The sequence below is a fragment of the Homo sapiens genome, chromosome 10 (genome assembly GCF_000001405.40).
Source record: "Homo sapiens chromosome 10, GRCh38.p14 Primary Assembly".
NCBI lineage: Eukaryota > Metazoa > Chordata > Mammalia > Primates > Hominidae > Homo > Homo sapiens.
Genome location: NC_000010.11, coordinates 29,599,540 through 29,615,299, shown reverse-complemented (window position 1 = coordinate 29,615,299; position 15,760 = coordinate 29,599,540). Strand labels below are relative to the sequence as shown.

Sequence of the window (15,760 nt, the reverse complement as noted above, 5' to 3'; positions counted from 1 at the left end):
TAAAAGGCTAAGAAACAAGGTGGCAAACATCTAGAAAATTCTTTAATTAAAGCTAAAGCAAATGAGATAAGATCAATCCTTCGATTGTGATATGATAGTTTTTTAAAAAATAGCAATTGTTTGGTCTGTTTCTTAAATAGATGCTGTCATTTACCTTAAAAGCTTTGCTAACCTCAAGTCTGACTGTGGGCCTTCTCTGTGGCCGCTGAAGCTACTAGTGTTGGTTCAAATTCCAACACTTTTTGTTATGATTTGTATTAGCATGGGGGGATAACTTAACTTCTGCCTCAATTTCCTCATCTGTAAAATGGGAATGATAGTAGTACATATCACATAGAGTTGTTATGAGGATCAGATAGGTTTATGCCTGTAGAACACCAAAAGCGCCACTTGCAGCATGGGCATGTTTATTGAATGATGATGATTAATCTTCATTAGGACCCAAATGATTCGTGGATTTCATTTTAACCATAAGCTGCAAGGATTTTTTTTATACTTTAAGTTCTGGGATACATGTGCAGAACATGCAGGTTTGTTACATAGGTATACATGTGCCATGTTGGTTTGCTGAACCCATTAACTCATCATTTACATTAGGTATTTCTCCTAATGCTGTCCCTCCCCTATGCCCCCATCCTCTGACAGGCCCCGGTGTATGATGTTTCCCTCCCTGTGTCCATGTGTTCTCATTGTTCAGCTCCCACTTTGGAGTGAGAACATGTGGTGTTTGGTTTTCTGTTCCTGTGTTAGTTTGCTGAGAATGATGGTTTCCAGCTTCATCCATGTCCCTGCAAAGGACATGAACTCATCCTTTTTTAGGGCTGCATAGTATTCCATGGTGTATATGTGCCATATTTTCTTTATCCAGTCTATCATTGATGGGCATTTGGGTTGGTTCCAAGTCTTTGCTATTGTGAACAGTGCTGCAGTAATCATATGTGTGCATGTGTCTTTATAGTAGAATGATTTATAATCCTTTGTGTATATATCCAGTAATGGGATTGCTGGGTCAAATGGTATTTCTGGTCCTAGATCATGCTGCAATTATATTTTTTTTAACTAAAATGTTATTGTAATTCTTTTTGTAACTTCAGTGATAAAAGTAAATGATTTGAGCCTATGATTTCCACAAAATCTAGGGAAATGATTTAATATCCTTTAATTTTTTAAAAAAAATGGCTTTAAAAGGTTCTGTTGTGGTATAGTTAGTGATAATAGAAAGCTCCTATTTCTGGTGCCTCAGTGGCCATTCCAGAGCCAGTTTCCTGAGGAGGCTGAGCTCAGTGCCTAAGACTTAGCCAGGATTCTGCAGCTGATTCACCGAGGAAACCTTGACCACAGTGGTCTCATACATTCCATAAGGGGAAAGGAAAACTTTCTTACTGATGAGTTCGTTGGGCTTTTGGAATTCATATGTAAGGTGATTATCTGGATTTTAGTACCCTTAGGTCAATCCTTTAAAAAATACGTAAAAGAAGAGAATATTCTTCCGGTTGCAATGTCAAATTATAGGTGAGTATCTGCATATTTATTCATCCAGGGAAAATTCTGGATTCACTGAAATAAAATATTTCAACTAGAACCATATCACCATGGGTTTGGAACAGATCATCATTCATCAAGGTTATTGTTTTCCAAATTGGATGATCATTAGAACTCCTTGATAAATGGCCAGGCCCCACGCCTGTAATCCCAGCACTTTGAGAGGCCTACGCAGGAGGATCACTTGAGCCCAGGAGTTCAAGACAAGCCCTGGCAACATAGTGAGACCTCCATCTTTACAAAAAAAAATTTTTTTAAGTGGCTGGGCATGGTAATATGCACTTGTAATCCCAGCACTTTGCAAGGCTGAGGCAGAAGCATTGCTTGAGCCCAGGAGTTCGAGGTTGCAGTGAGCCTTGATTGCGCCACTGCACTCCGGCCTGAGCAACAGAGCAACACCCCACTCTAAATAAATAAATAAATAAAATACTTGATAAAGATCTTGAAAAATATGGCTTTCTGGTCCCCACCCAGACCTATTTACTCAAAACCAGAGGGTAGGGATTATCAACCTCTCCACTGCACCAGAGCATCACTCATTCGGCCCGCATCCCTCCTCCTTCTTCTTTTTTTTTTTTTTTTTTTGAGATGGAGTCTCTCTGTCACCAGGCTGGAGGGCAATGGCACAATCTCAGCTCACTGCAACTTCTGCCTCCTGGGTTCAAGCAATTCCCCTTCTCAGCCTCCCGAGTAGCTGGTACTACAGGCACGTGCCACCACACCCAGCTAGTTTTTTGTATTTTTAGTAGAGACCAGGTTTCACCATGTTGGCCGGGATGGTCTCAATCTCTTGACCTTGTGATCCGCCCACCTCAGCCTCCCAAAGCGCTGGGATTACAAGCGTGAACCACCACGCCCAGCCTCATCCCTCCTTCTATAGCATCTTGGCCCAGTGCCATCCAGCCATCAGCTTGAGTGAACCCACCAGCATGGGGCTTTGTGAACATTGTCCTAATTGTCCTGTACAGATTGGACGTTTGTGACTAGGAAAAGCACATTTACTAAGGATCTACGTTTTTTAAACTTTTTGAAATCTTTTTTCCTTTGCTATGTTTTTTCTTTTCTTAACTGCATAACATAAATCTCTTAGAAAATCACATTTAACATCCAAGAGAACTCATGATGTCCTCTTCTTGTGTTTTCTGGGTGCAGAGCTCCAGAGCTGTTTCTTTGAAATACAAGTTATCTGTTGAACTTAAGCATATTTGGCAGAGCACCCTGGGAGGACAGCACTGCCCCCAAACTCTGAGTCTCACAAGGAGGGAGGTCCTTTATCAGCGTGCAAGTGATTCCCCTATAATTCCACCCAACCCACCAAAAAGCCTCACTTCCAACTCCATCCCTGATACCATGGATGATGTAAAGAATGGTCAGTCATTTCACTGCCTGATGTCACTACCAATACACAAGAAGCTAGAAAGGAGATAAACAGAGAGCAGGGAACTCTAAAATATTTTCCCTGAGAATCACTGGAACAAGGGGTCTGATTACTTCTCTGTTGGCTGTTGAGGATCCATAGTCAACCGACTGTCCATGCTCCTCCTATTCCCTGGGACCCTTGCTCGAATGACCTCACCACCTGGCTGGCACATGCTACCCTGGGGTGGAAGCACATTCTCTTATGACTTGCAATGGGAAAAAGGGCTGAGGATCGATTTTTTTTTTCCTGAGATAGCTGAGGAGGTGAGTCCTGCCAACATCTGAGCTACCCCCTAGGGCAGGCAGAATATTTCTGGAGAAAAACGAGCCAGCATATTGCTAACAGATTCCATGGCATTCCAAACCCCACCCTCCCACTGGGCCATTTGGTATCTCCTGGAGCGTAAAGTCCATGGAATGAGAGATTCTCCCCCTGGTTCTGGCGTGGCCCCATTTTCTAATAATACCCATCTGCAGTCTTAAGCCTTTAAGCTGTCCCAAGGGTAGGGGGTCTCAGGGAACCAGTTGGCTCCAGTCACCTTGAAGGATTCACTCTGAGTTCTGACTGGTTGAGACCAGAAGTTCTCGTAAGTAGCAGCTTCGCTTCTGAGATGCTCCTTTGCCTCACCTGCACGATTCTGCAGAGCTGGGGTCCTGCCTACCTTTTAACCACATCTGACAATAACTATCCTTACCTTTTGCTACCCCTTAAATTCAGACTTCTTTACCTTTGGCATTGGTTTGCTCCTGATTCCTCTCCAAAATATTCTAGAATGCTAAAAAATGTCAAATGCTCTTTATCTTAAACAAGGGCCAGTGTTTGAACCATCATATGTCATAGTGACACGCCTGTCAGAGCTAAAATGAGACTTATTACATGCCGTCCTGCTTGGGAGTAGTTGGGGATGAGTAACCACTTGACACGTTCCAGCAGTCCCCCCACCTCGGTCCCTATTCTAGACAGGCTAGAGCTGTGGCCATACCAGCATCCAGTCCTTATGTTTAAAACAGATCAAGCCTCTAAAATGAGGGACTTTTAAGTGCTTTTTTTGAAAGTGTGAAGGAGCAGTGTACTGAAGATAATGAACAAGCTTCCTTCTCACTAAACAAGAGTTAACCAAGAATTGCATTCACAGGGATATAGGCAAGGCAGGAATAGACGGCGGGACTGTAGATCATGCTCCAGTGAGGATACTTGACTGAGGAAGGAGGGGGCGACATTCCTCTCAGGCACTTAGTGAGTTGGGTATAAGTGTTACTTATTGGTATCCAAAAAGGCAACTAGAAATCAAGGTGATTCATGTGGAAAGAGCAGAAGAGTATCCATGGTAATTATGAAGTAGCTGATGGCTCTGGGCACAAAAGTGAGCTGAACACAGTTACGGGGCCAGTGTGCTTTGGGTAGCGAAGAGCCTCCTTCAGCAGCTCAGAAATGCATGAGCGAGAGTGCACCTAAAGAATCACAAGTGATGCACTGCACAGGAATTACAGGAAATGAGGAGCCAGGGGCTGAGGGAGTCTGGGAAGGTTTCATAGGCCCAAAGGGTGGGTGGGATTTTTGATTCATGAAAAGATGGAGGTTGGTGGGCAGGAGGAAAGGACACATGAAGGTAGAATGGGCAGGGTGCAGTGGCTCACGCCTGTAATCCCAACACTTTGGGAGGTTGAGGCAGGAGGATCATTTGAGGCCAAGAGTTTGAGATCAGCCTGGGCAACATGGTGAAACCTCGTCTCTACTAAAAATACAAAAGTTAGCCAGGCATAGTGGAGCATGCCTGGAGAACTGCTTAAACCCAGGAAGTGGAGGTTGCAGTGAGCTGAGGACCATGCTACTGCACTCCAGCCTGGGTGACAGAGCGAGACCCTGTCTCAAAAAAAAAAAAAAAAAAATGCAGAGTGAATGGAGCTTGTTTGGGCAGGGGAGAGCCTTGATTGACAAAACAAGTGGTGTGTGTTTATGGACAATGGCAAACCTTGGGAGTCTGGAAGGAACAGATGCTGTGGCCCTATGGAGGATGGAGAGGAGGAGGAGACACCACCAGAGGTAATTCAGAGGCTGTTGTGATTGTACAAGTCTCAGATTCTGCAATGATGGCAGCGAGGAGGGAAAGGAAGGGACGAGGGTGGGGCGTGAGGGAAGAATTGCCCAGGTTGAGGAACTGATTGGAGATAGAGATCTGCAAGAACTCAGAGATAAAATTGGGACAAACTACCCAGATTGGCAGGGAGCCCGCCACAGTGTGGAAATGAGAAAAGGGTGAGGGGTTGCTCTGACTTCACGGTGATGAGCCTGTCCAGTCCTTACCAGTCTCTCAGGGGGAGGGAGGTCACAGTGTCACAGGATCCTTAGGGTGTCGCTTTACCAGCTGGAAACCTCTGTTGCTGGTGGCACCTCTGCCTGAGTTTTGCTCATGCCTGCTGGACTTGTTCTGTCCACTCAGCCCAGTAAGATGTGCTCAGCTTGTGCTACCAGCCTGGATCCCATGCCTGCCAAGGGCAAGCCAGGCATGGAGCAGCAAGTGGGTATGTGAGTGAGTGAACACAGGGTCTGGCCACTGCACAGCCAGGCACGCTGGCTGCTGTGGCAGGGTGGGAAGCTCCATATGCCAGCTCCCTTTGAGGCTGTGGCTGGACCAGATGTGCCACAAGTGGCTTCCACTGTGGGCACCAGCGTCTGGATGAGGGGAATGTGGTGGTGCCCGAAAGCTCAGAGACACCAGGAACTGCAGAGTCCCCAAATAGGTGTTACAGCATGTCACAGCCATGGCTCAGGGAGCACCAAGGTCTGGGCTTCCAGAAGGGCTGCAGCTCTTCTCTACTTCTTGTTACCTACAGTGTGGTGAGTGGGGGGACATGTTTCAGCCCATTTGTGTTACAGCTCTTTCAGTCCCACCACCTTGCTCTGGCCCGTGGCTCATGGGCTGGACCAGCCCCACTGCTGTTTCCCATCATGTGGGGTGGCCACTCAGCACCAGCAGAGGGTGGGAGGGCTATAGTGTTAACAGCAGCTCCAGCTCTGAGGTCTGGGCCCCCAGAAGGGTTGCCATCCTTTACTCCCATAGCCCAGGAGCATGTCACCACCCACAGCTCAGCGAGCTGGTCAAGAACATGTTACAGCTCCTTTCACTTCCGCCATTCAGCAGGTCCTGAGTTCTTGTCCTGTGTCTAGGAAGAATGAGGTTATGCAGACAACTGGGTGAACAAGGCAGGCAGGAGCTTTATTGAGTGACAGAACAGCTGTCAGGAGACCCAAAGTGGGTAGCTCCTTTCTACAGGTGGTCCAGACAAGTGTCTTAGGCTGGCTGAGTCTGGGGTTTTTATGGGCTCAGAAGGGAGGAAGTGCATGCTGATTGGTCCATAGGTGGTCATAGGCAGGCCTGGAAAAAGCACCGTCTGATTGGCCAAAAGGCATCAGTGAAGTTCTCACTCCAGGTTGCGGACTCCACCTGGAACGGACAGCTGAGCCCCCAGGCTTCAGGCCATCCCTGGCTTAAAGGTAGGGTTTCACTAGAGACCCACCCCTTCCTGCCTAGGAACCTGTCTGCCTCCCACTGCCATCAACATGCCATCCATGGCACGCAGGCTATCTGCACTGAGGGGCACCCACATGCCCACGCTCAGCTGCCCTCAATGCCCCCAGCCTCCCTCCCACACTCATCACTGCCCGAAGTCCAGAAAGGGCTGAGGCAGCAGGGTGCTGGGTCTGCCACAACTTTGCTTCGCACTGGAGCGGGCACTTGGAGAGAGGAGAGGCCAGAGAGTGGGAACAGGCACCTCTGCCTGAAGGAATAGGAGGCTTCCCAGGCCCTGGAGAGTGCAGGGATGCCCAGGTCCACGGCTGGGCAGCTGCAACTGCCTGGGAGAACAGGCTCCCATCCTGCCAGCTTGGTAGGGTGCAGGGCTCCTGCTGGGATCACCTATTCCTGGCCCCTGCCAGCTCCACAGAGTGCACAATCCCAGCCATGGCTTCCCCACTGCAGCTGGCGTCCTCACAGCAGCCACCCCAGATGGGCCACTGCTGCCGTCAACAGTTGGCAGGAAGGCAGGCTAAGCCTGGTGTCTCAACCAGAGGACTTTGCAGCAGAGGTAATTGCCAACCCCACTTCCACTGCCTTGACGTCCCTCTTGCAGCAGAGAAGCTAATCCTGCCCAGCCTGGCCATGAGTGAGGGCACCTGAAGGGGTGAGGAGGCGGGGGTAATGTTGTGTAGGTGGGAGGGGGCAGTAGAGAGTCCCATACTCAAAGTGACTGCCAAATCCAGGGCTGTGCATAGAGTGACTGCTGACAGCGTTTGATAAGCTTTGCTGTGAGTCCAAAAGAATGATCGGATAGATGCCTGTCTTGCAGCGCATCTACATTAATCTCATAACAAATTATTCGTCTCATATTAGAGAAAGTTTAGCTTTCTTAGAAGCTTGATGGGAAAGAGCCTCCCAGCTCTTAGAGTTTGATTTTCGCAACTCAGTTCACATCTTCTTCTTACTCCAGGTTCCCAGCTCCTTGAGCCTTGCCCGTGAAGGGGTTGGAGTCAGGATGGGAAGCCTTGAGCTGCCTTGACCTGCTCCATCTCTGACTCAGGGATGTGCCCTGCTTGTCACAGCATGGGTGTGCTGGGCCTTGGGGCATCTTTTCAGGCAGAGAGCAAGACGTTGGCATTGTGGAAAGCTGTACCTCCAAACAGCAGCCCATTCACAGACTACAGAGGAAGAAAAGACCACACTTGCTACAGTAACAATGCAATTCAGTACCAGGGAATAACTTAACATGAAACATGTCAAATCTATGTAAACAACTGGAAGGCACTCCTAAAAAATACAAAAAAGAATTTGAAAAAAAAAATCATGTTCTAAATTAGGGAAGTTTGAGGTTCTAAATATATCAATTCTTCCTAAGTTAATTTATTACATTTTACACATTCTCAATTTATAAAATACCAACCATTAAGAAAAAAAATAAACTAGGCAAGGAGATTCCGAAGTTCACATGGACAAATAAGCAAGAGCTGCCAGTTATTGAATGCATTACACAGCCTCAGTAATTAAAATAATGTGGTACTGGCAAGTGAATAAACAAGACAGCAGAACATATTAGAAAGCCAGAAGTAGTCCCAGATATATATGAGAATACATAAATTTTGAAACGTGTCATTTAAAGTCAACGAAGAAAACTAGATTGCCCAATAAACATAATGGCAACTGGGTAACCATAAGGAAGAATGAATAAATCATGCCCCACACCAGGATAAATTTCTAATGGATCAAATATTTAAATAGTTCAATGTGTAGGCCAGGCATAGTGGCTCATGCCTGTAATTTCAGCACTTTGGGAGGTCGAAGTGGATGGATCACCTGAGGTCAGGAGTTTGAGGCCAGCCTGGCCAGCGTGGTGAAACCTCGTCTCTACTAAAAATACAAAAATTAGCCGGGTGTGGTGGCACGTGGCTGTAATCCCAGCTGCTTGGGAGGCTGAGGCAGGAGAACTGCTTGAACACAGGAGGCAGAGGTTGCCATGAGCTGAGATCCTGCCACTGCACTCCAGCCTGGGCGACAGAACAAGACTCTGACTCAAATAAACAAATAAAAAAATAGTTAAATGTTTTTAAAAATGAAACCACAAATGCATTATTATTTGGAAAAACCAACCGTAAAAATACATTTTTGAGGCAACTGGAGAAAATCAATTATAGATCAAGTATTAGATGATACCAAATAATATTGTTAATTTTGTTACATATAATAGCATTATAGTTATACAAGGAAATATTCATAATTTTAAAATGCATATTGAAGTATATAGAGGTAAAATGAGTTGATATTTTGGGTGTACTTTAAAATAATTTTGTTGAGAGACAGAGTCAGAGAGAGAGAAGAGATAGAAGAAAGAAGTATAACAAAACCTTGATAGCAGTTGAATTTAGGTGGGGGTATATGCCAGTTTATTATAGCATTGTCTCTACTTTGTACAGGCTTAAATTTTTTCAAAATCAAAAATATTGGCTGGTTGCAGTGGCCAGTGTCTGTAATCCCAGCACTTTGGGAGGCTGAGGCGGGAGGACTGCTTGAGACCAGGAGTTTAAGACAAGCCTGGGCAAAACAGCAAGACTCCATCTCTACAGAAATTTTTAAAAATAGGCCGGGAGCTGTGGCGCACGCCTGTAATCCCAGCACTTAGGGGCCAAGGCAGGTGGATCACTTGAGTTCAGGAGTTTGAGACCAGCCTGGCCAACGTGACAGAAGCCCATCTCTACCAAAAATACAAAAATTAACTGCGCGTGGTGGCAGATGCCTGTAATCCCAGCTACTCGGGAGGCTGAGGCAGGAGAACTGCTTGAACCCAGGAGGCGGAGGTTGCAGTGAGCTGAGATGGCACTACTGCACTCCAGCCTGGGCGACAGAGCAAGACTCCATCTCAAAATAAATAAAAATAAAAACTAATAAGTACTAGAAGAAAACAGGAGAATTTCTTCATAGCTGTGGATTTGGCAAACCTTTCCAACTGATTTAAAATTAAGAAACCATGAAAGAAAAGATTGATAAAAATCAACTATCTCTCTCTACACAAACACACACATATACATTTATTTATATAAAATATATATTATGTAAATAATATATATATATATTTGAATATATATTTTTTAAAGCCACTTTTCCACTAAGGGGAAAAAACCCACTAAAGAGAAAAAAAAAACTAGGAAAACTATTTGCCACTCACATCACAAACAAATGGCTAATATATTAATATAGACATTTCTGGAAATCCTTTTAAAAAGTTAAAACTATCAAAATAGACAAAAGATCTGAACAGACAGCTCACAAAAAAGGGAAAAGGAATTTAAGGAGTCTAAAACATATGGAAAGATGCTCAGCCTCATTTTTAGTAAGAGGAAAGAAATGTACCATATCTGGGAAACCTCAGAGCAGCAAAACTCTAGAGCTGCTCTTGCACTCTGCTGAGGCTGGGGGGAGACGGGAACCGTGGCTGATGGGAATGTAAACTGGTGCGATTTGACAGTTTTTGTCAGAGTTCTTTCAGATACACTTAGATTCAAGGTGATGTAGCTTTGTTTGAAAACAGCAAAAGAATAGAAACCTTAAGGCCCATCCGTAGAGGACTAAGTAAATCACAGACCCTGCGTACAGTAAAATACTATGCACCTGTAAGAAAATGAGGCTAATGCCTGTGTGCCTATATGGGAAGATCTCCAAAGCACATTGCTAAGAGTACTTTGCACACTTCTGCTTATATATGAAAGGGAAACTAAGTGTCTATTTGTATTTGCTTGCATAAAGAAACTCCATAAGGACAAACAAGAAACAAATAACAGTATTCCCGCCCTTATCCTGGGGGATGCATTTGAAGACCCTCAGTGGATTCCTGAAATCGCAGATAGAACCTAATCCTGTATATACTGTTTTTTCCCCATACTGTACACACATAAACCTATGATAATGTTTAATTTATAAATTAGGCCAGGTGCAGTGGCTCGGGGCTATAACCCCAGCATTTTGGGAGGCCCAGGTGGGAGGATCGTTTAATCTCAGGGGTTCAAGACCAGCCTGGGCAACACAGCAAGACCCTATCTTTACAAAAATTTTTTTAAAAGATTAGCTGGGCATAGTGACATGCACCTGTAGACCTAGCTACTTCAGATGTCAAGGCGGGAGGATCACTTGAGAGCAGGAGATCGAGGCTGCAGTGACGTATGATTGTGCCACTGCACTCCAGCCTGGGCAACAGAGCAGGACCCTATCAATCCATCAATGAGTAAGTAAGTAAATAAATAAATAAAGGCACAATGAAAGATCAACAATATGGCCAGGCGCAATGGCTCACGCCTGTAATCCCAACACTTTGGGAAGGCCGAGGTGGGCAGGTCACTTGAGTCCAGGAGTTTGAGACCAGCCTGGCCAACGTGGCAAAACCCTGTCTCTTACTAAAAATACCAAAAAAAAAAAAAAAAAAAAAAAAAAAAGCCAGACATGGTGGCACATGCCTGTAATCCCAGCTACTTAGGTGTCTGAGGCATGAGAATTGCTTGAACCCGGGAGGTGGAGGTTGCAGTGAGCCAAGATGGCACCACTGCACTCCAGCCTGGGTGACAGAGCAAAACTCTGTCTCAAAAAAAAAAAAAAAGAGGAACAATAATAAATAATAAAATACAATTCTAGTAAGATACTGTAATAAAAGGTATGTGAATGTGGTGCCTCTCTTTCTCTCAAAATATCTTATTGTACTGCACCATGGATAACTGCAACCTTGAAAAAGGAAGCGATGGACATGGGGCGACTACTGTAACTGGCACCTCAGAAATGGGGAAGGGGGCGGAAATATTTCACTGTGAAATATTCTTCTGCCACTTTTTAACTTTATTCAATCACATGAGTCAAAAAATTACAAATGTAAATTGGATTTTTAAAGACTGTACTGTGGGCTTATTACATAGTCACCTTTGCGGATCAAGTCCTGACTTTATGTATGACATCTATTAGCAGCCTAATTTTATATGAATTGAATGCAATTCCAAAAATAACAGTTAGGTCATTTGAAAACATATGCCTTAGGTGCCCATTAAATGCTCTTTTCAATATCTGTTTTGTTCAGAATGTAGTCTGGCCGGCCCTGGGTGAGTAGTTCCATGAAGTAAGATACTGTGATCACTTTGAGAGGGCAGGGTCCCTTTGCTCATTCCTATATCATTTCATCACCTTCCTCATGATCCAGCCAGCTGCTCTATTAAATTTGAAAACCAAGTATGCTTTCAACCTACAGGTGAAGAAATTAGATGAACTGTCTGGCCATAAATTATAATTCTTGGGAGCCAGAGCTGTTTCACTGTGGTTGAGACCAAATTTCAAGCATCTGCTCACTGAATGCTTTTCCATTTTTGCTTTAAAAGCTTCATATGAGTACATACAGCATTTTATTTGCTTCACAGCATGCCCCACAGAACTCTTTCTTGGAAATACAGAGATTCCTATTTTTAGTCTTTCAGGAAACAAAATTACTAACTTCTCCCCCTGCTTCTCTTTTTCTTCTTTATAAAGAAGAAAGGGTTGGAAATCTTATTTGCATTTTCATTCTCTGTGATACGAGGATGAGGGGGGAGGGCAGGGTTTGTGGGGGATCTTTCACATCGTTTCTCCCAGCTGGGACTAAATACCATGCATGGCCACAGCCTTGTCCTGTTCTGCACTTGCTTTTATTTATTTACCTCCAAAGCAAAACACATCCAGCAAGGGGAAGGAGTCTCGAGTTTCAGTCGTCAGGATGGTAAGAAGTCCTTCATTATCATCTTCCTGGGCATGAAACGATTTTAAAACAACTGATATACCTCTCCCTTTCTTTTTTTGAGATGGAGTTTCTCTCTTGTTGCCCAGGCTGGAATGCAATGGTGTGATCATGGCTCACTGAAACCTCTGCCTCCCAGGTTCAAGCAATTCTCCTGCCTCAGCCTCCCAAGTAGCTGGAATTACAGGTGCCTGCCACCACGCCTGGCTGATTTTTGTATTTTTAGTAGAGACAGGGTTTCACCATGTTGACCAGGCTGGTCTCAAACTCCTGACCTCAGGTGATCCAACTGCCTCGGCCCCCCGAAGTGCTGGGATTACAGGCGTGAGCCACAGCGCCCGGCCTCTCCCTTTCTTTTTTAAAAAAATTATATTTAGTCTTCTTTCAGGCTTGACCATTTGCATCTTTAAACATTATATTGCAAAGCCACTTGAAAGCTGCAGTTTACAAATGTACATGATTGATAGGTCTATAGATTTTCATAGAAGGCCTGACTTCATAAGAATTTATAATCATGAATAAAAACATTTGCATTCTCTTTCTTCCCCCAAATCATTCTGGCAGTGAACACTTCACCTGCCCAGGCCTTTTATGGAAGAGTGTATGTAATACCTCTGAGCCTTTGGGGCCTGGGATCCAGGTTGTCCCACAGCAGAGAAGGGAGGGTGAGACAAGGCAGGTTAAGCAGGTACGGCATGTTGGAAGGTGTACCATGTGCCCTTAAAGGTGAACCCAGTGCACCTTCATGAACCGTGGTACACCTTTAAGAACTTGGTATGCCTTCATGAACACTTAAAGTACCAGGGGGCACTTCATGAAACATCATTAAGTTTCTCCTAAGTCATTGCAAAATGATCAGAACTCTTTTGTCGTGGACAGCATTTCTTTTGTAGGTGTTTAGAGTTGCCAATAGCTCCATAAATTGTTAAAAGCAAAATATTGAAATATAACCTAATAATCCAGGGCCCCATGTTTTGAAAGATCACTGCCAAATCTTTCACGTAGATACCAAATACTGTGTCAACATTTAGCTAAATCGAACTGGTGGTGATCCCAACAAGCAATGAACTGGTACAAAGAGAAACAATTAGGAGAATAAAGGACTCAGCCATCAACAAACTGAATAATGATCAAATGGACAAAAGTACAGATAATGAGGAAGAGAAGAAAGAGAGAGGGAGAGGAAAGAGGTAACCGGTGCTGAGCAGGAGATGATGCCACCTGGTAGCAGAATCAGAAGCCTGCATGGTGCGGAGTGCACTATTACAAATGTGAATGTCATCAATCCTTAGAACAACCTTAAAGTCATTGTCATTAGAAGAGGAGATAATTAGCCTGAGTCACATGGCTAAAAAGCACTAGAGCTGGGCTTTGAACTCATGTCTGATGAGCCCAGGCTCTTACTCTCCAGGCTGTTCTTTGCATTTATGGTAGGCCGTCAGTCACCTGTTTCTCTCTGCATCAGAGCTGAAAGCCACAGGTTCAATCCTGAAATGCGCCTATGGCAAGAACCTCATTCTATATAGTAGTTGCAAATTGTGCCTCAGGCTTAAACCTCTCCTAGAACTGGGGACAAAAGTGGCTAGATGCTATGGTGAAAGAATATGGATAGTTCAGTTTAAACACATTTCTACTTTTAAAGAAAGAATGCATTAATGCATTATTCTCCCTAATAACGATTTAGAAGCATCTTGTTGATAGATACAGAGGAGCACATTTTAAGCTTTATAATTTTCAGTTTCAGCTCTGGAATTGGGTAAAACTGATGTGTACATTGGTTTTAGGTTAAAATGTGGCATGTAGCATTTTGGAAAGCAAAGTGAATAAATAAAAATCCAGGGGGAAATTTTTTTTCAATGCTTTTGCTCTAGGAACTTATTTATGCTGGTATCATTAGCTGTTTTTCTTGGATGACCAATGTCTATAATTGTAGTCACATATTTCTGAGATAGGATGAAAACCACAACAAAATACAAACCTTTCAAGTCAGCACATAAGTTATGTATATTAATGACAGGGAGAAATGGAGCCAGGAAAAGTGGTTTTAAAACCGCGCGGACACCAGGGAGTGTCTATGTATGTGGTTTTATTAAATCTGACTTCTAGAAGCGAGTTGTTCACCACTGAGTGTGAGAAAGAACCCGGAACTTCATAATCATATGTATTGACTATACTTCAGATCAGATAAGTGGTCCCATAGCACGGGTCCCTTGAAGAGAGATGCCATTGTGGGGTTTTAGTTAGAACAGTCTTTCGGTCCTTCTCCTGGTTCACAGGATTTGTTTGAATGTTGTTCTCATCACAATTCTACCCCTTCGTTTTTGCATAGGGTCCTTTTGTGCCCCAATATTTCATGTTCTGGGACTAAGAAAATGTTAATTGCCTATTCTCTAATAATATGTGTATAAAATGCATCCCCAAGTGACAAACTTTACTATGTAAATGATGCTGCTGTTTATAAAAGAAAATGGTGAGTTCTTACAGTCCTGATTTTGCCACTGACAGCACCTTAGCCAACCTGTGTGTTTCTCCATCTGATGTGGAGGTGCAACAGGCCTGGGCTGCACGCTGATTCACCTGGGGAACTTTAAAAAAATTCCCATGCCTGGGTCCCACCCAGAGATTCTGGTGCCGTATGTCTGGGTGTGGTGAGGGGCATGGGAAGGTTAAGACTCCTTAGGAGGGTCTAACAATGCTCAGCTCCAGTTGGCAATGACTAAACCAGAGGACTTCTAAAGACACCTCCAACCTTCCCCTTTGTGATTTCTAGTCTGTGTCATACATAACTAATGGCCAAAATTCAGAGTAAAAATTTTTCAGTGATTCATGTAACGAGCTCATCCAGCCAGACATGGTGGCTCATACCTGTAGCCCAAGCTATTGGGAGGTTGAAGTGGGGAAATTGGTTGAGCCCAGGAGTTTGAAGCTGCAGTGAGTCATGACTGCACCATTGTACTCCAGCCTGGGCAACAGAGTGAGACCCTATCTCTTAAGAAAAAAAAAGAATCAAAAAAATCTCATCCAGCCCAAAGCACTCAATAGTAGAGTACCTCTTTTGCCACATGTAGTGGATTTTATTGGTTCTTTTGTGGGATGCATTTACCAGATTACCCTACTCCTACCTCTAACTCTTCCATTAGGATAGCAAACCAAACAGAAGAGGGCTGTCATTAATAACGTTCTACTTAATAGGCACTTGATGAACATCTTCCACATTTGGTGTAAATTCCATTCACCCTGCGAGCCACCCATATCCTGTCTATCTGACCGTTGGGAAATTGATTTTGTTATTTTTGCTTCTCCCTGGAGGACTGCACAAAGTTTTAAGACAGGCTTGGCATGGTGGCTCATGCCTGTAATCCCAGCACTTGGGGAGGCCAAGGTGGGCGGATCATCTGAGGTCAGGAGTTCGAGACCAGCCTGGCTAACATGGCGAAACCCCGTCTCTACTAAAAATACAAAAGATTAGCTGGCTGTGGTGGCACATACCCGTAGTCCCAGCTACTCA

General features: G+C 44.3%; 1 protein-coding gene and 1 non-coding gene across 5 annotated transcripts in view; both read left to right on the top strand.

Moving 5' to 3' along the window:
• Nucleotides 1-15,760, top strand: part of SVIL (supervillin) — a 279,599-nt gene that overhangs the window by 121,637 nt on the left and 142,202 nt on the right. The gene's annotated exons all lie outside the window — the stretch shown is intronic.
• On the top strand, nucleotides 12,954-13,036 carry MIR938 (microRNA 938). Its single transcript, NR_030634.1, has one exon. It is a non-coding gene; the product is annotated as a microRNA 938 (primary transcript).